Source organism: Homo sapiens, chromosome 13 (assembly GCF_000001405.40).
Source record: "Homo sapiens chromosome 13, GRCh38.p14 Primary Assembly".
NCBI lineage: Eukaryota > Metazoa > Chordata > Mammalia > Primates > Hominidae > Homo > Homo sapiens.
The window spans coordinates 28,384,256-28,408,106 of NC_000013.11; the positions used below are offsets into that span (position 1 = coordinate 28,384,256).

At 38.9% G+C, this 23,851-nt stretch overlaps 1 protein-coding gene across 4 annotated transcripts in view; it reads right to left on the minus strand.

Moving 5' to 3' along the window:
* FLT1 (fms related receptor tyrosine kinase 1) overlaps positions 1 to 23,851 on the minus strand; it is a 194,783-nt gene that overhangs the window by 83,910 nt on the left and 87,022 nt on the right. For 2 of the 4 annotated variants that reach the window (NM_002019.4, NM_001160030.2), the window contains exons 11-14: positions 21,525 to 21,639; positions 12,705 to 12,813; positions 5,541 to 5,849; positions 630 to 776 (exon numbers count right to left, since the gene is read on the minus strand). In NM_002019.4, the coding sequence (NP_002010.2) occupies positions 630 to 776; positions 5,541 to 5,849; positions 12,705 to 12,813; positions 21,525 to 21,639 (680 nt within the window). Of the gene's footprint in view, positions 1 to 629; positions 777 to 1,292; positions 5,850 to 12,704; positions 12,814 to 14,788; positions 14,864 to 21,524; positions 21,640 to 23,851 lie in introns of those variants that run through there. The other 2 variants (NM_001159920.2, NM_001160031.1) reach the window with 2 other exon arrangements.

A 23,851-nucleotide genomic window follows, 5' to 3' on the forward strand; every position in this document is an offset into this window, starting at 1 on the left:
AAACCTTGTCTCTATTAAAAATACAAAAATTAGCCTGGCATGGTGACAGCACATGCCTGTAGTCCCAACTACTTGCCCAGCTACTTGGATGGTTGAGGTAGGAGAATAGCTTGAACCCAGGAGGAGGAGGTTGCAGTGAGCCAAGATGGTGTCACTGTACTCCAGCCTGGTTGACAGAGTGAGACTCCATCTCAAAAAAAAAAAAAAAAAAAAGAAAGAAAGAAAACGAGATTATAAATCTACTTTTCTGAACTTCACATATGCCAGGTGTTCCAAGTTCTACAATACCTCAAAGCCAAGAAACTAACTGCTCACTTTCCCAGCCGTCATGGTGAACTGAATCATTTTCTACATGGCTCTTCTCATTTCTTTCTGAATGCACTATTTAAAGACTTCCAGCTGAATAGATTCTGCAGGATCTTTCTATGGGTTAGGAATATGGTCTGCATAGGAACTGGCCCAAATATTCCTCACTGGACATTGCTATCAGCATGAACCAGATCCCAGTGTTTGGGGCTCTATCAGCAAGTAGGTCTATACATACTGGAAGCAGGTGACGGGACTGTTAAGGGAAAGGGGGGCTGATGAAAGATGAGAAATAATAAATGGAAGAAAAAAAAGTCTCTTACCAGGCTCTTGTTGTATTTTGTGGTTGTTTTTAAACCAAGTGATCTGAGGCTCGGGGACACCATTAGCATGACAGTCTAAAGTGGTGGAACTGCTGATGGCCACTGTGTGATCACTGAGGTTTCGCAGGAGGTATGGTGCTTCCTGATCTAGTGAAGAAAGAAAGGGAGCTGTGATTACTCGTCAACTTTATTCTTGTATTGTCTATGCATATCAACATTTAAAATATACAGAGAAACAGCAAAACTCAACTATTAGGTTTCATTTTCATTTGTTCACTTTCTCTTCAATCATTAACCTGCTGCTTCTACTTTAATAAGATGCTACGATAAATTGAAATTTATTACAACACAGTGAAATCAAGGACTAGATTTTGTATTTTTAGATTTCAATACAAAGGCTTTTGCCTAGCTAGCTAGTTTCCTTCCTTTTTTTGAGAGGAGCTTTTCTAAAACTCAAGGATTTTGCATAATAGTTTAGAAGCTATAAATCAAAAACATGATTTTGTGTATAGTCTTGTAATGATTTTTATATAAATATATAGTGCTGTAGTGATAGGCTAATATAATTTTGTGTGAGTTTTGATTGATGTATTTGTGGGGGCGTGTTTGTGTTACTCAACTGTCAGTAACCTAAGTTGTAAGGCAGCAGACCAAACAGGAGAATTTCTTGAACTTTGAAAGCTTTATTGGTTCTTTCCTTTCTCCATTCCCTTCCCAAATGCAAGCAACCAAAGAATTAATTCAAGAGGCAGAGGCACAGATTTGTAGTTTTTGCACTATATAATAGTACAAATATTGTATTTTATATTATTTTCTCTTAAAACATACAAATATGATACAATACAATTTATTTTAATAAAATGCCAACCAATATAGTACAACAAAATGAATTCAATACATTAAGATGCAATACATTACAACATTAAAATCCCACATAAGAACAGCAGTACCCCCAAGGCCCCCAATGAGTACAGTATATCTCTAATGAAGTAGTCAGTCAGTCCTGCTGATGTGTATACATTCTAGTTAGGAGGGTACTGGATTGGTAGCTAAAGCTTCCAAGGTAAAAAATAAAAACAACTCCTAATGTCTTTCCCACCCTCCCAAGTCATTCCTTTCCCCTCTTGTTGGAAATCCTGGAACAGAAATCAAAAGAGTTTTGGCATAACTGACACGTTCTCTGTCACTGTCTTCAATTATACAGTATGAGCTTTCTCTGCCCATTTTCGATTTCCTCATCTTAGTGTACTAAAACTGTGAAGGCAGCTTAGGAGTGATGACAATGCTACAAAGATGATACATTGCAATGGCCTTAATTCCATGTCCCTGCAGGGTTCTGCCACGTCCCAAAACCTTTCCCTTTTGAGTCCTGCAGGGCAACTCTCAGGATTAGCATTTGTTAAAGCAATTTAGAAATCCCAGGTTAAAATGTATATTATCACATAAATTTTATAACATTGTTGAAGTAGTATATCATGGCAGGGTTACTATCTGTTAGGAGAAACAGATTTCTCAATAAATTTTGATTTCTACAGTTTATCATTAGTCTTCTCATTTTATAAAAAATGAAATCTGAAGGCAAAAAAGTGTGCTGAAGGAAGTGCTCTGATGTACAAAAACTTCTTCAAACTAGTGTAGAATGAATGATAGCAATGATTCTTTTGCCTCTTTGAGCATGTCTTTCCTATCTTATCTTGCCCACTAAGCAGAACGTTACGATATTTCTGTTTTTGCATTGGATGCTATCTGCCAAACAGCTTTTCCTAATTGAAAATGCAGTCCTGTTTAAAACCTTTGATTTACGACTACTTGTACATGCTTGCTCATTACAATTTTGACATTTTTTACATAGTGAAGACCCCAAACATATCAGTGAAACATGACAAGATCATAAAGAACAGTATCATATTATTATTTAGTCGCTTTTACAGTGGCAAGCCAATTTTGAAATATCTCATTTAAAACTCAGACCCAATTCACTGAGTTATACTTTTAATAGCTTCCTCAGCACACTATTTCCCATGCATTAAATATGATAAAATAATCTATCACTGCCCATCGGTCTTGTAAAAAGGAAGTCTGAATACAGAGCCCACAACACTAAAATTGTTTTTCTAGCTACAAAGTATAGCATCATCAACACAGACACGATTTGGACTCCCTGACAGGTGGATTGGAAAACGGTGTTTAAAGAGAAGAGAACATTTTAACATAAATGTCATTAAGAATCCCAAAGGCCTTATTTGTACTACACAAACTTCAGATGATAGAAGCAGCAAAAAGGCTGCAGAACGTACATGGGACTCTCAATTAAATACAAGGTTCACATAAACACTCTGAAATATACAGTAATATGCATTTTTCTTTGTACCCATTTCTGAAAAATGTTCTACATTAAAAGTCTCACTTTTGGCTAGTTTCTAAATGACCAATCAACCCAAGAATCATATTTTGTCAATTCTTACTTTATACATTATAATAATCTATTTTGACATTTTGAATAAGGGAGGTGCGTTGAACCCATATTTCGAAACCTAAGTTACTTGATGGAAGTAGGTAGTGGCTTTCCAAAATTTAACAGTGTAGCTGATCCCTTCAAATTGAGAAAATCAGAATTAACAGACATTTCTGCTGGTTATCAGTAGCCAAAGATAGCTGCCCACCAGGTTCTTTCACTTTTCAGTGTTATGGCCCCAGAGATCTGCCAGGTCACATAAATACACAGCTTCTATCCTCCGTTTGGAATGGGGACTGAGGAACCAGCCTCACACCCCCTGTTCCATTTCAATTATTCCCCATTTTAGGCTCCTTTTTTCTCCTTTTTTTTTTCTCCCCCCTCCGTTATCTTCACCTCCCTTCATACCCCAGGGTAACATACCCCTAGGGTAACTAATAAAAAACAAAACCCACCCAAAAGTTTCTTTAAAAAAAAAAAAAAAGACTCTCCGGAAGGATTAATTACACAGTGAACAACTAATACTCTATGGAATTCTTAAACTCATCTCTTGGAAGTTCTTAAAATCATCTTTTGTAAATACTAACATCCTCCCCTCCCCACAAAAATTGCAAACAGGGGAAGGAAATGGTAGGTTCTGCATGTCCAATTCACCATTTTGTTTTCATAAGGATCCCTCAATCATTCTGTTTGCTTTTTTAATGTTAGCAACTATTAAGGCCCCCATGTTCTATGGTATTAAGGCATTGTTTCCTGAAGGAACACACTAACTTATAATGAACAAAGAAGCCAGGCCAAAGAGCCATAGGTAAAATTTCAAGATACAATTGATTTTTCTTTCCTTTGGGCTGACAACTTCCAGGTTACTAATTGTTTTCAGAGCATTTGGGGCTCCATAAAACTGGCATTCTGGGGAAATGCTATTGTTTACTCTTTCACGTTTGACAAAAGCAATTCCCACGTGAAAGACAAGTTTAGCCGTGGGACAGAATCTGTTACCTAAAGGAGGAAACAGTCTGGTGAGTTCCCAAGCTTGAGAAGTTGTCATATTGTCACCTCCTATTGAACTGCCCAGCCACTGTGTTTCTCAGCCATGGCTATTTTGGTCATTATAGTTTTTTTTTTTAAATAGTTTATGCAAGTCACATATAATGATCAATCATAAATAAAAACAACAGAACAATGCATATTAAATTGGTGAAAAAGTCATTTTCCCTCAAACGCAAGCTTAAAACAAGAGATTACAACTTCTCTTGATTTAAAACTGGTGTGTATTTTTTAAATTACTTTGAATTCTGCTTCTGTAGTTTTGCCGCTTCTTAATCCCCATAAAAATCCTATTAACATTTGCATATGGGGAAAGTGGACTTTTTTAAAGGGCAAATTTTAAATTTACATTTAGAAGAATGCATTAAATCTCTGGTTACAATAGCCTTTATTTCCTTGATAAATTGATTGTGGTACACCTTTGAATGCTGTCATTTTAACATGATGAAGTTCCTTAAAATAATAACCAGAGGACAGGAATATTTAAAATTAAGGCATGATCCACTTTCTTTCAGCTGCCATCAATAGCTGTGTGGTGCAGTCAGAGACAGCAAGGAGCAAACCCTTTGCTAGGCTAGTCTACTGTGGCACTAACTGCATAATTACCTGGATCGCATGAGAGGAGGGAGGGGACGTTGATTTGGATGGACTCTTATAATTCACACTGCGATAAACCTTTACTATCTCTGAATTACACCAACATCTTGCACCCCTGGGGCCCATTTTAGAAGCTCCAGTTCAAGATAAATGTGCTTAACGTAAAAAAAAAAAAAGCATTTTCAAATAAATAAGCATTATAACTTGCTATCCAGGTGCTATTTACAAATCAAGAGCAGATGAAATAGTCCCAAATAAAACCAGGCAGAAGTCCGACAGAGTCTCAAATTCAACTGTACTCATTCTGAGCTGGAAAATTAACTTATTCGTGTCCATCTTTGGCAGAAACCAGCATTTGTTTAAATTATTCAGTTTGTGCAGCTTCAACACTTAAAAATAAAAAGAGGTTGGCATCAAAATGGAAGGAAAGGATCATCCCAAGTTGTTGTTTATCAGGCAGGAGAAAACAGCAAGAGCAACAAACACAGAGAAGGCAGTGCAGGGATCCTCCAAATCCAAACGTGCACCAAGTCGGCCCCCCGGAGCAGCCCCCTCGGCCTGAATGGGGGGCCCAGAGCTGGGGCCCGGGGGTCTCATTATTACTGCTATCATCTCCGAACTCATTTTGGGAGGAGCATCTCCTCCGAGCCTGAAAGTTAGCAACAGTGACAATAAATCAAGATGATATGAGACAACTGTTACTTTTTAATGAGTCCTTTAATGTTTTACATTACTTTGTGTGGTACAATCATTCCTTGTGCTTTTAAATTTGGAGATCCGAGAGAAAACAGCCTTTTTGTTGCAGTGCTCACCTCTGATTGTAATTTCTTTCTTCTGGAGGATTTCTTCCCCTGTGTATACATTCCTGGCTCTGCAGGCATAGGTGCCTGAATCTTGCAGGGAAACATTCATGATGGTAAGATTAAGAGTGATGGAGTGCTCCTTAGTGATGGCCATTTTTTGCTTGCTAATACTGTAGTGCATTGTTCTGTTATTAACTGTCCGCAGTAAAATCCAAGTAACGTCTCTGTATAAGAACTTGTTAACTGTGCAAGACAGTTTCAGGTCCTCTCCTTCCGTCGGCATTTTTTCCAAGTTAACATGAAACCCATTTGGCACATCTATAAAATAAGAATAAAGAACTTCAGTTCACAGAAAAATCAGTGTCTTTTAATGAGATATTCAAAGATCTTAAGAATTGTTCGTGCACAAATTATCTCAGTATCCACATTAAAAAGGATGAGTATTTGGGGTAAATGAGCAAACACAGCAGGTGGGAATCAACTAAGTTCATTCCATCAGAAGTGAGGTAGGAAATGCAAAACAGAATAGTTATTAGGATGGCATTTTCTCCTGATTCACGTGAAGTTGCTCTTCAAAGTGGCATATTTTCTCCAACTTGGTTGTTAACTTTATTTCCCTTTTTTTTTGAATCAGGGTCTTGCTATGTTGCCCAGGCTGGAGTGCTGTGGCATGATCTCAGCTCACTGCAACCTCCACCTCCAGGGTTCAAGCGATTCTCCTGCCTCAGCTTCTAGAGTAGCTGGAATTACAGGCGTGCATCACCACGCTGGGCTAATTTTTGTACTTTTTGGTGGGGGTGATATTTCACCATGTTGGCCAGGCTGATCTCGAATTACTGGCCTCAGGTGATCCATGCTCCTCGGCCTCCCAAAGTGCTGGGATTACAGGCATGAGCCACTGCACCTGGCCTCATTTCCTATTTTTAAAATCATGTACAGTATTCCTACTGGCAAGTGACACTGGCAAGTGGGCAAAATAGTGAAGTAACATAAGAGCAATTCATCCTAAAAACCAAAGGCACACTTACGGTCAAACTTATCCAAAATAGTTTGCGAACAAGTGAGAATAGGAAGTCCTAGGTAAAGTGCCAATCAATTCCACTTTAGTCCTAGACTTTTGCAGTGAGAAGCAACTGTTATTCACTATCCTCCTCCTGCTCCTGTCCCAGATTACTTGCCCTGGTCCAGCAAAGACCACAGTGGGCCAGTGGCACAGTGGGCCAGAGAGGAGCCCGCTGACTTACTCAGGACTTCTTTTATGGGGATGGTTCTATTCAGACCTGAGAGAGCAAAGATTTCTTCTGAAAATGCGGACAACTAATCTGGAAGAGTTGCCAGATTCTAAAATGGGGGTGATAGAGGGGTAAAGAGAATAATTTTAAAAATCAAATTTACTCTCTAACATATTTTAAACATGTTCTGAAGGTGGCTATGTCATTAAAAGCCATTTTCTCCAATGTCGATTCCCAGCTAATCTTTGTTATAAGAAAATAAGTCTTGGGACCCCAAAATCACTAAGCTAAAGGGAAAAGTCAAGTTGAGAACTGCTTACGACAAACCTGCCTCCCATTCTCTTCAAAGTCATCCCTCTGCTCTCTGAGACAAATGCATACCTTATTGCCTCCTTTGGAAAGGCTAATCAGAAACTCAAAAGAATGCAACCGTTTTTCTCTCACCTATCTATGACCTGGAAGCCCCCTCCCCACTTCGAGTTGTCCTGCCTTTCCAGGCGGAACCAGTGTACATCTTACATATATTGATTGATGTCTCATGTCTCCTTGAAATGTATAAAACCAAGCTGTACCTCAATCGCCACCTTGGGCACATGTTGTCAGGACCTCCTGAGGCTGTGTCACAGACATGTGTCCTTAACTTTGGCAAAATAAACTTCCTAAATTGACTGAGACCTGTCTCAGATATTTTGGGCACCTTCATCTCCATCTCCCAGGTGTCTCTGTCAACACCCCATGAGCTCTTCCCCTCCGCATGCCTAACCTGGGCCATCAGTTCACTTTGGGGCTGAGAATTTCTTAGTATCATTTTGGCCCAGTCTCACGGGAGGATTTTAAAAAGTCTGCCGGCCCTGAACTGACCCGCTCTCAAAACCTTCCCATTGCTTATTACTAGTGGTGTATCTGCATTTGAGCAAAGAATTTGGGCCAACATCTTACAAAGTGCTTTGAAGATGAAAAGCATTATGTTATGCTATTATTATTATTATACTTTGCACACAAAGCTATAAAGAAACCTTTAAACGTTAAGGGGACAATAGTCCAAAATTAGATATCATATCAACTCTTTCCTAAATCTCACTTTGCTTGTTTTTCTGATTTTTCTGAGCTTTGGCTTTATTATAAAGTGTCACGTCTGAAGAAATGCCAAAGTATTCATTTGGAACCTGGGAGCAGGGCGTAACAGTGGCTTACGAAGCCGTCAGTGGCTGAGGAGAGAGGATACCAGTGGAGGTTTTCCTGCTTTTAAAATGAAAATCTAAGAATGTGCCAGAAGATGCAGGAGGGGCAGCTGACAGTCACTTTTAAGATAACAATAAGGTGTCAGAAATAGTTGCTCTAATTCAGCATCTTTTTATATTTGGGCCATTTTCCAAGCATGAGGAGTAAAACATCAGCCATCAACTTTTACACAGATAGTAGAGCAGAGGTATTGTGCACTGGTTGCAATCAACTCTTACAAGACCACAGACTTTCCATTTATGAGCTCTCATCCTGGTAGTTAGAACCCAAGTGAGCCCAAGTAACACCATTGAGATCGTGTAGAGAGTTTCTATTTACTTTAGTGATTTGAAACTTCCTGTGGAAATAGCTCACAGGTTTCCTGATGGAAGATTTTGTTTATCTTTGCCAAGCACCACCAGGAATCTCAAAATAAAATGCATTTAGTGACATTGGGAAACCAGGGAGATAAGGCAGTGCTGTTCCTGTTTCACCCTCAGTAATTGCTAACACACCCATAGTCATGCTGAGTGCCAGCAAAACAGCAAAAACACACACATAGGAAAAGCAAAGAACCAAATTCGTTTTGAGGCCTGTTTCTTATATAGGGGACATGGTCACTGAAGCTAATTTGTTATGTTATCAGACAGCCTTTTAGAAATGACTATTTCTCAGTCTCACCCCTTTGGTATTCTCTTTTGATCCATGGAAGATGATAAATAAAAATCCCAGAGGGATTTTTCTCCTTAATTCATGTTGACTTTTTTTTTTAGTCTGAGTACAAAAACAGACCCAAGAAAGAATTGCCTTCTAACCCTCAAAGTGAAAACAAGAAATCTTCCCACACTTAAGTATCTGTGGCGAATTCAGCACAGTCATCATCATTACCAAATAATACTCATCCATCTAACATATTATCACATCCATGGCATCTTATGAGGTGTCATGGAGAAGAATCAACCCTTGCTCAGAAGAGGCATTCAACCCAGGGTTAGACGAAAGTGTCATCTATTTATAAAGGTGCATACTTGGGGGTAGATATTTCAACTCAATTGGATCAGGCATGTGCATTAAGTTCATGAAAGGGACAAGCATAGGAATTTAAAAGGACGCCAGGGATGTCATTTGTTGGGTAAAAATAAAGAAGGCTCTACTGCCACCGAAGAGTGGAAATATTACTTAAAAAGAGAGTGAATGGTTACCAGGAAGTTCTGCTTGTTTCAAGTGGATGCTATGTACAAGTGTGTGCCAAAGTTTGGAGTCGAAGCGGTCAAGGATTCTAATGGCCACAGTTTACCATTTTCATCAATTTGGAAGGCAACTCAAAAAAATTTTTGTGTTTGTTTTTGTTGTTGTTGTTGTTTTGAGGCAGGCTCTCGCTCTGACACTCAGGCTGGAGCATGGTGGTGCCATCATGGCTCACTGCAGCCTCGACCTCCTGGGCTCAAGTGATCTTCCCACCTCAGCCTCCCAAGTAGGTGGGAATACAGGCACGTGCCAGCAGGCCTAGCTAGTTTTTGTATTTTTTGTAGAGACAGGATTTTGCCATGTTTCCCAGGCTGGTCTCAAACTCTTGTGCTCAAGCAATCTTCCCATCTCAGCCTCCCAAAGTGCTGGGATGACAGGCGTGAGCCATTGTGCTTGGCCCCAAGTAACTGTATTTTAAAGAAGGGGCAACAGGATTGAAATGAGGACCAGTAAAGATCCAAATCTAGATAAGAAGAGCGTTAAAATTTTAGACAGGCACTTTTAAAGCATTACCCTCACTGAGTCAAGTATAAACACTGAACAAATATATGTTCATTTTTTTCAAAAAATAAACATATGAGGTACAACATTCATGAGTCTTTACTCTCATCTCTAGTGACAAAGATTTGAGTGAGAGAAAGATAATAATTATTTAAAAACTAATAATGAACGTAAGCAAGTTAACCTAATATCACAATCAAAACCAGAACTTTTCAGGACTGGTAGAAAAGGATTAAGGGAAAGTATATTCCAGGCAATGAGGGCTTGGTTGACTGGACTTGTGTCAGTTTTAAAGTTAAAGCTCTTGGATTTCTAGAGGAAAAGAACTGTGAGCTTCAAGTAGGTATGTCTGAATCGAATTCTCATTTTGTATGGATAAGCCTTGGGATCTAGAAGAGGTTTCCACCCCGCCATGGTTATACATTGTACAATATGGTGAGAGGTAGGAGGGAATTTCTGCCTGAATTCAGCAGGAGATCACCTTTATCAACTTGGGCCCTTTCAGCAACAACACCATGGGTAGAAATATGATGCAGCGATGAGACTCTGGGCTAGCCAGAGGTTGGTGCTGTGACTAATGCTAGGCATCAGTTAGCTTTCATTGGGAACAGTGATTAATAAGGAAGTGAGCATGATGTTCCCCTTTTCTCTTAGCACATCCTCTTCCAGTACTGCCCTCAGACCCAGGCAAGAAGGATCCCTGTCGCAGCTCTGTTCTGGTCGCAGCTCTTCCCACAATGTGAAGAGTTTATGGGGCCAAGTGAGCATGCCTACCGACAGCCTGTGTCACTCCATTCCTATATCATGATCCAGGTCCCTGGGATCTCAGAATTCCCTATAAGGCTGATTTAAATCTGCTTCTAGGTTGGCTCTTCCCTAGGTCTGGCCTCCTGAGATCAGACTGCTTGTCAGTATTCACACCTTTGGGTCTGTCCAGGCAGTGGCCAAAGGAGACTATCTGTGAGGGGCATGGGGAGAGCTTAGATGTGTGGGCTGGGAGACACCACACATGGTGCATGGCCCCTTGCAGTGTGGACAGGGTAAGGGGCGGAGAGGGGAGGTGGGTGATTTAGTTTTTCTGCACGGCCAGGTGCTGCCACAATCTGCTCTGGAATCTGAGTAGTCTCAGAGCTCTAAATTGATCCTGACCTCTCAGGTCATCATGAAAGTATATTTGTCCATAGGGGGCTAAAAGGTATTTAATGGCTTGTTTGCTTGATGTAGAACTTGTCAGTAGTTAGACGTATGGTTTGTGGGCCTCCACTGGTACTCTTGTCTTGGCTCTGAAAATGTCAGGGCAAGTCTGTTTTCTTCTCTCCACCTATTCAAATCCCACCTTCTCTCTTCCTGTTCAGGTCCTGCTTCCTTCTCAGAGGCTTACAGCTGCACTGTCCAATATGGTAACTGTGAGCCACATGTGGCTTTTGAGCACTTGAAATGTGGCTACTGTGTCAGAGGAACTGAAGCATATTCAGTTTATTTGATTTTATTTAAATTGATTTAAGTGTAAAAACTGAAGCAGTGTAATATTTTTAAAAAATACTGATTACATATTGAAATCACAATAGTTTGGATATATTGGGTTAAATAAAATTAATTTTACTTTTAAAAAAACGTGGTTACTAGAAAGTTTTAAATGGTATTTGTGGCTTATATTATATCTCTATTGGACAGTGGTGGCTTTAGAAAGCAAGCTCACCTGTCACATTACCTCTGCACATAAATTTTGATACTAGGATATATGTAATTTGACATTTCTTGTTTGTTTCCTTGGTGTTAGAAACCTGTTCCTAGAAAGACAGGACTTCATTGATGTTCCTCCAAGTGCTCAGTAGAGTTGAACTGTACCATTTAACAGTGCTGATTAAACTGTTACAAAGTTATTGAATGTTCAGAACAAAACAGGAATTTTTCAGTCTTTTGTATTCTAAATCAGACATACTACGACTATGGGTTGAGACAGTAACTTGTTTCCAACCAAATATAAAGGACAGTGCAAACCTTTGTATTTAATTAGTCCAAATCCCATTTGCTCATCTGGAAAATACAAGAGCTATGATGCAGAATAGCCTCTAGAATCCCTGACAGCCCTGACGTTCTATGAGAATCTACTCAGGGATATCTCCCATGGCACAGCTTCTCTGGGGCTTGGCTAACTTGCCAGAGGCCCCTGTGATCTGACAACACATATGTGTCATGGAATTGGACATGTCTATTTCTTTCTGGAGAACTTTTGGCAATTTCTGCAGCCTGCCCCGGGCAGTGAGAAGTTTCCAGAAAGTTGGCTTACTGCCCATGTTTCCTCAGAAATTGGGGGAGTGTGGAGCCAGGCAATTGTTTTTATACTTTGAGCTACTTACTTCCTTCCTGTACCCATTGAGGGACATAGGGAGTGCCATTTGTGTACCTTGGAGGTTTTTAAGATTTGCAGAGACCATCATATTTAAGGCTAAAAATTCTTAAATGCTATCAAAAAATAGCACATTAACTATTGTTAATAAAGCTCTGTTTCAGATTGCTACAGAGCCTCATTCCCCAAAAAGTCTAAATTACCTAAGTTGTAAAAAAATTAACCTTTTGGTTAAAACAAAAACAAAACCAAAAACGATGTCATCATATTATATGCATTATAATTGGTTTCCTTGATTGGTATTGAACTGCTATGTACCAGACCCTGTGCTAGGTACTGAAGGGAATGAAAAAATGAGCATACAAGATTCCCAATTCATAATCCAGTCTGGGAGGGAGACAAACACAAATAACTCTAAAAGAGAATACAGGGAAATAACTCCTTACGAGATCCGATGAGGTAGAATTCTATTCCTGAGAGCAAGGATGAAGGCACTCAAAGTTTGACAATTCTATGGAATTAAAAAAAAATCACTCAAGCTATAAATGCACTAAAAGCAAACAAGACTGAAGAGAGAATGAAGTCACCAGGCTGTCTCTGGTTATAGGATGTGTGGCTTACCTGTGATATAAAAGCTTATGTTTCTTCCCACAGTCCCAACTTTATTGGAAGCTATGCAAATGTAGATTCCAGAAATTCTAGAGTCAGCCACAACCAAGGTGCTAGCCATCTGCAAAAGAAAAGGAAACTTTAGCTAGCAACAGGACAAATAACTAATTGAACACCCCAAGCTACTTCTGAGGTTGAAATGATTCAGCTACTCCATTCATTCTGCAAAGAGAGTATTGCATAGGTGGTGGTTACCAGAAGGCTCTCCCCTTGCCGAGCCCCAACAAGAATGGAAAAATAACAGGAAAGCAGGTCCTCAGGAGACCGGGGCCTATGACATCCGACTCATATGAGGGTTTCAGGCTTATTTATCTCGTGCTGCTGGCGTAACAATTACAGACCTGAAGCTGAGATGTGGGACTGCACGTCCTACCCTATGAGGTGGTCAGTTCCACATCAATGAGAGGAACAGGTGAGGCTGAGGCCTTCCCTTTTGTTTGGGTGACCTGAGAGCATAGATGCCAGTTATAACAGGAGCCTTCTCTGCTGTTTGGTTCTATAACAGGCATGTTAAGTGAGCAAGGACAGAAGATAATGTTTGGCTGAAACTTTTTTTTTTTTAAGAAATGGGGTCTTGCTATGTTGCCCAGGCTGGCCTTGAACTTCTGGGCTCAAGCAGTTTTCCCGCTTTTGTCTCCCAAGTAGCTGGGACAACAGGCACATGCCACTGTACCTGGCTTGAAACTTTTTTTCTATGCTCAAATAATGTGGCATGCAGCACTGGATGGTCCTGAAGGAGACCGTGTGTGTGTGTGTGTGTGTGTGTGTGTGTGTGTGTGTGTGTGTAAATTACCTAATTTCTCTTAATAAATTAAGTATCTATTCCTAATCTAGAAGATGAAAATTTAAATTATGAATTAATGCAATTATATTGTTCCACTAGACTTTAGTGCTATTATTTGACAACTTAGTCCCTAAAGAAACATTAGCAGTCAAAATTGCATGAACTTGAAAGCACTTTCCAAATTCTGATGTCTAAAAAGTAATGAAACAAAATTTTAGACAACTTAAAGACTTGCATTCTTCCAAAGAAAAAAAATTGGCAATATGAAACAAATTGTTAAACATTCTTAAATTTAACCCAAGCTTGCATTAAAAAGTAGTGTATAATCTATATGAAAAAAATGAGAAAGCTAGTTTCTCATACTTAAAATTATGGAAAAGAAAAGTTAGTCCAGTTACTTATAAATCTTTGCAGCCTATGTCCTAGGACAAAAATAACTGGTTATGGGCTTTGAAATTGCAGAGGCTGTGCAAATGATTCCAGACTAATAGAGTGTCCTTGCTGAAGTATAATGACAAGTGACTTACAGGCTAAAGTAATGTAAGGCTGAAATGTGACAGCTGACTTTCCAAGGTGGTGGACATACTCTACAAGTGGTTTGGCTGTAGGAGAGAGTCCTAACATTTTCTTGAGTTTCTAAGTAATGTGCTAGGCACTTTAGTTGTGTTCTCTTATCCCATCTAATAAATTAAGGTATTTCTGTCTTTAATCTACAGATCAGGAAGACTTAAACACATGTTCCTCATGTTTTTAGCCAGCAAATTCATTGGTCCAAATTCTCTACAATTTTCACTGTGGTATAGTGAGTAGTACACAGTGCTTTCTCTTCTGTTTGTTGGAAGGATCTGCTTAATTACACCTACCCATATACTCCCTGTGTATTATTGAAATTATTGGTAATGAAAGTGTCTGCAATATGTGGCAGACAATTTAGCAGACATTTATTGAGTGATTATCAAGGCATTGCCCAGATGTTGTAAGAGAGACAGAGATGAATATGACACAATCCCTCCCTTAACATTATCATTCTTTAAGGTGATAGAGAAGAATTTCCCTCCTTGAAGATCATACAAAAATTATTCTCTCTTTTGCAAGGAAAGCGCATATGAAGGCAAATAATCCATGGGAAAGTGTACGAAAGAGAGCTCAGGTGTCCCTTTTCTTATTTTGATGATGAATCTTTTTAAGAGGTGGGACATAAAAAATTCTGAATAGCCATTTCCTTGTAATTGTTGTACCCACCCGTTTAGAGTCACGGAAGGAAATGGAAGTAGTTGGAAGAGAAGCTTGTAGGTGGCAACATGAAAGAACTGTTAGCTGGTGGAAGCTGGAAGACAGGAGAGATCGTCAAATACGACTCTGACTCCCTTACATTGTCTCAGGAAGCTTAGACCCTTCAAAGCAGTATGCAAAAAATTCAGAAACAAGGAGCTCAGATGAAGCCTTTTTAAGCTGGGGTGTCAGCTCCAGCACTGTTTTTTTTATGAAGTTAGTTCTCAAGTGTTTATCCTAATGGGCCTCAGGAGAAACTTACTTAGATTCTCAGATTAATTGTTGCTCAGTAAGTAAGTGAAAAACCCATTTCTGTTGGCTTGGGAGTGTTTGAAATTATGGACAGCATTTATCTGCATCTATGAGTCATGTTTGGGTTTTTATTTAAAAGATTTTGATTTCATTGAACTTAGAGCAACCGAGAACAAGAACTGGGTTTCGTGGCAAGGGAAAATCAAGTCAGATGTATACATTTGCCACATTTAAGACCTGTGTAGGTAACCTGGGAATGGCCGTGGCCATTTTACAAGTCCCCAACAAATAGTCAAATAGGTCCAAATTTATGTATAATCAGAGAATAAAACTGAGGTGCCCCGAAGTGAAATGAATCCGGGTCACAAGATGGAGACAGAAATGTATTGAATTTTTCTTCTTTTGTGTGAATGACACCTTCCAAACAAGACACATTACTCGTAGTCAAGCCTGCCCCAGAAATCATGTCTCCAAAGCTTCTATTAAAATAGAAGCAGAAAACAACGTTGATGGGAGTTTACATTATTTCTTTGTTTCTGCGAACCTTTATGTATGCCTTACAATGCACCAGGCAGCATGCAAGGCACTTTACAGGAATTGTCTCATTTAATCCTCCCCAAAACCCTGTGAGATGGGTATATTACCCTATTCTACAGGTAGGACAACTGAGGTTCCGAGAGATTAGATGATTCACCCAAAGATGCAAAGGACCACAGACAGGCCTGGGCAGAATTTATGCTCAGGTGTGTCTGCCTCCGCGCCTATGCTCCTAATCTCTACACCAGATTGCTTCTCGCCTTGAGACTCTTTAAGTTGAATAACACAGATCTATTGGCAAAATTCTGTCTACACCTTTAATTGAATTTTTCCTTGAGAATACTTCCTTTAATCCGCAGAGATGGGTAACATAAATTAAATACTACTACTATTTACAGAAATACTAGTTGGCTTCTCTGATGACATTTTACATAAGCTGCAAGCTGCTCTTCAACTGTTGTTATGTGGTTTGAAAATATATTTGATAAATACAATGGTTATCACTAAAGAAGAAAAGTTAAAAATAAGGTGAAACATATCCTATGATCAGTTTTATTAAAATTTATCTCATTTCTAGAGTACTTCTCTTTCAGGGGATATATTTTTAAATTATAAATTCAAACATTTTCTCATTAAAAATAAAATTATTTGACAATTAAAATTTAAACTTTATAGGGCCAGAGAAAGGAGCTCAGGTGCAAATTGTAGATCAGTGTAGTCTGGCTGGACTAGAAGGCAGCTTTGCATGAGACAGTGAGTTTCAATGTCTGAGTCTTCTGAATAAAGGAAAAAATCTGTTCCTCAGTCCTTATATCCAAATACTATGGTGTTAAGGGAAAAAAACGAAAATAGCATCACAGTTAGGGCATGCAATATCAACTAAATACTTTCAAAGAGAAAGTAACCAAGAATTTGAGTTGTGCGTTTGAAATTATAATCATTTATTCTATAAGGTATGCAAAAATAAATTCTTAAGGATATCTACTTGTATTAGTGCTATAATTAGTTTTCATTTTCCACAATTGAAAATAAATGAAAGAGGACTGAGGAAGAGAAAAAAGCAGAAGTGCTGAAATAAAATTAGACTATTAGGCCTGATGCGGCGGCTCAGGCCTGTAATCCCAGCACTTTGGAAGGCAGAGGTGAGTGGATCACCTGAGGTCAGGAGTTCAAGATCAGCCTGGCTAACAAGACGAAACCCTGTCTCTACTATAAATACAAAAATTAGCTGGGCATGGTGGCAGGCGCCTGTAGTCCCAGCTACTTGGGAGGTTGAGGCAGGAGAATCGCTTGAACATGAGAAGCAGAGGTTGCAGTGAGCCGAGATCATGCCAAAATACATAAATAAATAAATAAATAAATAAAATTAGACTATCAAATTTTATATTAGTCTTAAAGGACTCATGCTTTCTACTCTTCATTTTTACTGCTTTTGCTTTTTGTGGTGCTTCCAGTTGCCTGGCCTGGCCCTCAAGGATTTACATGTTAGAGACAGATCCTTCAAGCCCATTCTCTAGGCTCTTTGGTATGACCCAGGAATGCTCATAAAACTATCAGCAAGTACTGTAAGTTTGGAGTTTTTCATGTTCCTTCCTTCCTTCCCCTTCACTAAGCATTAGTAATTCGTTACTACAATGTTGTTTGAACCTCACTGAATAGAATGGATGGGCTGATGTGTCATTCAGCCTAATTCCAGCACTCGTTTTTTAAACATCTATATATGGAACACTGATTTTAATCTCGGGATGTTTCTAATATAGCTTCCTTTCAAGTGTTTCACTGAGAAATAAAAGTAGATGTGTAAAGGTCATGGAAGAATCTAAAATTAACACAGGGTGGCACATTTGAGCCAACTGATGGGAAAACAGAACGTGAGATTTAGAAAAAATTGGGGTGTGTGTGGGAACTGAAACACAAGCTGTAATTCTGTGGTTAGGATTCTTGCTCCTGTCATGGATTTGTCTCATACAGGACACATTTCTCAAGGTACACTCAGAAGGATTTCAATGGAAATATTGCTAACACATTAAAATGGTAATGATTCTCCAACCTTACAGAATTAATGCTGTGATAACGTATTTCCTGTGTGTTTTTTCTAACACGGGGTTCCTTCTACTTCCTACTCCATATCTACAAACCTAACAGTTTGGCAACACCACTTAGACAATACGAAAGTGCACATTTGCTACTAGCAACTCCAGTTGATGACTCACTTTTCACAAATCTGGGCCAAAACTCGCCAATAAGGAAACTAAATTTTATTGTCCTCTATACCCTTCCTTAAGTTAAACAAAAAAATACAACAAAACAAAGAAAAAAAATCCAAGGTGCTCCAGCGTGAGTGTGATCGCTGCCCCACTGATCTGTGGAGTAGCATTGCTGGGCAGGCTACCATGTGACGGTGGATAAAGGGATCACCGCAGTCTAAGCTGGGACTTTAATTTGCTTTCTAAAAATGTATAGAAAATAAAAACAGTTTTAATTGTGAAGGAAAAAGCACTGCATATAATTCAGAAACAGCAAAACTTCCATTTTGTCACCATCATATGACAGATACATTTTTTCACACCCACAAAAAGATATATTAGTAGATGCTAAAAGTAAAATTACTAAATTCTCCTAAATTCAAGATATGAACTCAATCATTTTATTTAAAGTCTAATATATTACAATTACAACTGCTAATGGGATATGTACCATATATATAGATATAAAATATATCTATATATATAGAGAGAGAGACTTTGTTTAGTGTGAGTATTAAAAGTTTTTTCAGTGCAAACAATTGTTTAACAAAGTCTTCATTGTATATGATCACAATCAGTTTAGGGAATTGCATAAGGGTACATATGACATTCACTTTACTAAAGTAGTACTTGTATAGGGCTTTCTCATTATGTTATGTTATGTTACTTTACGTTACGTTACGTTATGTTATTTATTTATTTACTTTTTGAGACAGAGTCTCACTCTGTCACCCAGGCTGGAGTGCAGTGGCACAGTGTTGGCTCACTGCAACCTCCACCTCCTGAGTTCAAGCGATTCTTGTGCCTCAGCCTTCCGAGTAGCTGGGATTACCACTACGCCCGGCTAATTTTTGTATTGCTAGTAGAGACGGGGTTTTGCCATATTGGCCAGGCTGGTATTGAACTCCTGACCTCAGGTGATCCGCCCGCCACTTTGGTAGGTGATCGGCTTACCAAAGTGTTGGGATTACAGGCATGAGGCACTGCGTCTGGCCTTCATTATGTTATTTCATTTCATCCTTGTAACAGGAAGTACTAGCTAAGGCAAGTATCATTAGTTCTGTTTTTTTTGGAGGAAAGAACTCAAGCTGAGAGAGGTGAGCTGGTTTGTATGTGGTTATACAGAGAGGAAGTGTCGTAGTTTGACTCCAGGGCTCCTGATGGCAGGTTGGGTAGCACAAGTGCAGAGGTCTATATTTAAAATCTTCTGCGTAACTGTAAAATTACCAGACAATAAATTTGTTTTAAACCTTCATGGAGAAAATCTTGGGACGTTCTTTTATCATGGGCATGTTTTGATACTCCACCTCCACTGATTTTTATAGGTTTTTACATTATATATGGAGTCAAGTTGCCACTTCATGGTTTGGGTTAGCCAGAAACTTCACCTAGCTTTCTCATTTTTCATTTCATTTCCTATTGTATATTTTTGTGGATAGGATACCAAAATAGCACTAGAAGTTACCACTGAAATTAAGCTTATAAATTCTTGTGTTAATATCCGGCAGTTAACAGTACATCCTCCTGACATGGTCAGGAAAAAGCAAAATGAATTGACACAACCAATGAATGGCATCTTGACATTTTTCTAGTACTTTGTGACAACTAATTTGCTGTTCACTGCTAATAAACTGAGGTAGTTTCCTTATTAAAAATATCTGAAGGCCGGGTGTGGTGGCTCATGCCTGTAATCCCAGAACTTTGGGAAGCCAAGGCAGGCGGATCACAGGGTCAGGAGTTCTAGATCAGCCTGGCCAACATGGTGAAACTCCGTCTCTACTAGAAATACAAAACTTAGCCAGGAGTGATGGCGTGTGCCTGTAATCCCAGCTACTTGGGAGGCTGAGGCACAGGAATCACTTGAACCCGGGAGGCAGACGTTGCCGTGAGCTGAGATTGGGCCACTGCACTCCAGCCTGAGCAACAGAGTGAGACTCTTTGTCTCAAAAAAAAAAAAAAGAAAGAAAGAAAGAAAGAACAAATTAAACTTTCAAGTTTATATAACTTCCTCTAAGTATTTCATTAAACTGCTCTCTTATCAATAGCTATACATCACGGACTGTTTTAAAGTACTGCTTATTTCTGTCAGAGAAAAAGAGTTGTAAACCACCTACAGCTACTGCTATAGTTATAAAAACTTCCTAAGTGTTTAATAAGAGACTATTGGTGTTATCATATAAGCTATTGCCACTCTGACTAATTTCTACAGTGGCTTACTTGGCTATAAGGGCATTAGGTTTTGCAAAGGAAAGACTTTGGTTTGAGTCTCTCATTTATACTTTTAAGCTGTCTTTGGGTTAATCATCTTATCTTCCCTGTTTTATCTTTAAAATAGAGATAACCACTCTCATCTGCCAAAGAATGATGGTGACATTAGCATATGTCAAAAAGTTTCACATAATGAAAATTATAGATGTTATTTGTTGTTACTGTTAAATCATACATGAGGAACGATGCCATCTACTTTGTCATCTTCAAGTGCAAAGTGTACGGCTGAATAGATGACATAAGCATACCCACACTCAAGCAGGCAGTGGAATCTGTATTAACAGTCTCTACTCCAAATCAAGAAATATATATGTAAACAGACATGTCAGCAAGGGGATACTTGATATGTTTTTTCTTTTTAAAAGAATCATGGCTGGGTGCAGTGACTCACGCCTGTAATCTCAGCACTTTGGGAGGCCGAGGCAGGTGGATCACCTGAGGTCAGGAGTTTGAGACCAACCTGGCCAATATGGTGAAACCCTGTCTCTACTAAAAATACAAAAATTAGCCAGGTGTGATGGCAGGTGCCTGTAATCCCAGCTACTTGGGAGGCTGAGACAGGAGAATCACTTGAATCCAGGAGGCAGAGGTTGCAGTGAGCCGAGATCACGCCATCGCACTCCAGCCTGGGTGACAGAGTGAGACTCCATCTCAAAAAAAAAAAAAAAAAGAAAAGAAAAGAATCACTATCCCTGTGCCAGACAATAGCAGATTTTTAAGTGTATTCTTTACTAATTCAACAGGAAAAAGCCACTAGGTCTGAGATCCACTGAGACTTGCCTAGCTGACAGGCTTGTTAGCTATTGCCAAGCTTCAGTGGGGGTTAGGGGAGTATAAAATGAATAGTGCGCTGATGAGGTCAAGGAATCTTGATAGATTGTGTGTGTTTGCATATCCCCCTCAACTCAGGCTTTGCTCTTGCAGACAGAGGGAAATACATGATATTTCACAAAATAGAAACATTCAGTTTTAGCTCTAAGTCTTGCACTAGCTTTTGCTTACTGGGATCCCACTTTATGTACATCAGTGATTCTCAATCCCCGTTAGGTACTGGAATCACCTGGGAAGATTTTACGAGCCCTAGGCTGCACTCCGGAGATTTGGATATAATAATAATTGGTAGAGTATTCTAATAGGCAGCCAGGACTGTGAACCACCAATGTGGACCAGTTTGATGTTCAAGTGGACAGTGCCATCTCTACCATTAGGAATGAGTACTCATTATGTTGGAACTGGTAGCTTGAGTAGTCTCTGTGTGTATCTCCATGAAGACATAGCTCAGATATTGTCTTTCTTCTCTCTGAATTTTTGTTTGAACATTTAAATTACTTCTGGTGCCAATAAACCTAGAATTGGGAGCTGAGAGTGTATTTGTGGAATAAATATCCCAGTGCGCATTTTTACAAACAATACCTTATTCTTTCCTTCTATTATTGCCATGCGCTGAGTGATGCTCTCAATTCTGTTTCCCATGTTGCTGTCAGCATCCAGGATAAAGGACTCTTCATTATTGGAACAAAAGTCACACCTATTAAAAAAAAAAGTTGTCACAATGTGGCTTTACAGCATGGTTCAGTCAATGGGGACAGGTGAAATGAAAACTTGGTGTAAGTCCTCAGATAACAAAGTCACAAATTTTATGTGTGATCTTCTTTTCCTTAGATTTTTTCCTATATTCATCCTCAAAACTTAAAAATAGCAAATATATTTGGCTGATACTTGAAAAAAGCCCCACACTAGTGTGTCACCATACATCCTTTTCGTTGTAAATGTTAATATTAAATAAAAATGCATAAATTAGAAAATTTAGTATCTAGATTTTAGTTTTTAGTGGAAGTAACATTCAAACACGGAAAAAATGAAGTTATGTTAATGAATAAAAAACTCAAGGAAATCATACCATTTTATATCTATAAAAGGCTGGCTTTTAATCAGAATATGCAGTTGGATGGCTAAGTTTTTCCAGGGCTAATTAAGTGCATATGGAAATCAACATCATGAAACAGTTATTAAATTCAGTCTCTCTCTGCTCAAGTTTTGGGGAACTGTTCAAGCTCTCAGGCCTCAAGTGTTTAATTATAAAATAAAGGTGTTGATGTTATTTATCTTTGAGGTCCATGAATTCTCTCTCTGTTTTAAACATTTCACCATTTTGCATTCTGACTTTCTGGACTAGAATTTTTTTGAGCAGAAAGCTTGCTGGTCTCTAATTTGCACATGTCTTGGGCAGATTCTACAGATTTTTTAAACCAAGAGGAATTTTATTATTATTATTATTATTATTATTATTAATATTAGAGACAGGGTCTCACTCTGTCACCTAGGCTAATGTGCAGTGGTGCAATCATAGGTCACTGCAGCCTCGAACCTCTGGGTTCAAGCAATCCTGCCGCTTCAGCCTGTAGCTGGGATTATAGGCTAAGTGAAATTTTCAAGCTTCATTTCCAGAAAAAAATGAGTGGTTCATCTTTAGCAGCCAAGAGCAGGAATGACTTATGTGAGAGGAAAATGAGAGGCTAAAGTCAGTGAGAAAAAGGGGAAGACAGAAGGGAATGTGGTCAGAAAAACGTTCCGTTACTATTCCTCCCTGGTCCTTGAGCTGAGAAGGAACTCCAGAGTGTTAAACTATCGCATCTGCAGGGGTACTGGCCCTGTAACGTCCTCCTGCAGAGTACTCACCACCTTTTAAGTGCTGACTTAATGGTTCTGAGTCCCCGCTGGGCCAACAGCTACAGGAGGACAGGGGACAAATCGACGTATTCACTCTGTCCCCATAGCTAAGCAGGGCCCGAGCATGCCGTCGGCGCCCCATAAACATTTGCACACATGCAGACAGGCACAAGGTACCCGAAGTTGTTTTTGCTAAGAGTTTCTACTTTCTTTAATTGTTTATTATTATCAAACACACCGATAAGTAGAGAGAATAGTGTGATACACCCCCATATACCCGCCACCCAGATTTCACAGTTATCAAGATTTTGTCACATTGGTTTCATCTACCCCTTTTTTTTCTTCTGTATTTTATTTATTTATTTATTTTAAAATTTTTCTAGCCTGGCCAAATGAAGGATTTCTGTGTTTTAAAACAAATCTCAGGCATCTTGTCATTTTAGCCCTATGTACTTCAGTGCATCTCTCTAAAAAATGAGCAAATTTTTCCAATATAACCACAACACTACTTTTATACCTAAGAGAATTAGCAATAATTCCGTGGTGGTGTTTGCACCTAAACCGTATATCAGATTTCCCCAAATGTTTTTAAAGATGTCTGTCTTACAGTTAGATTACAAGATTTAAAATTTAAAAAGAATGAATAAAAGGTGACCATTCCTCAAGGAATTTCTGCAGTTTTTACCAGGTATAACCTTATAATAATCATGAGGTAAAATAAATGAACATTTTAATGCTTATTGATAAGTAGAGTAAACTGAGCCAAAGAGAAATTATGTACTTTCTCCTTTATTAGAAACATCTTAATGACAAAGTTTAAAAGTCATTATATGAGAGTCACTTTGCCTTATTTTTTCATTATCATATTCTCCATTTTCTAGACTATAACATCCCCATGTTAATCTTGCGTTAGACTTGCTATCTTTCACACACTCGTATTACAGGTATGAGTGTATATAATGTGCACATATACACATGTGTATACCTAGATTAGACATTTGCATATGTACTTGGGATTGTGACATCAAACAGCTAAAGTTCTCTTGTATCTGGAAGACAAGCTTTTAGAT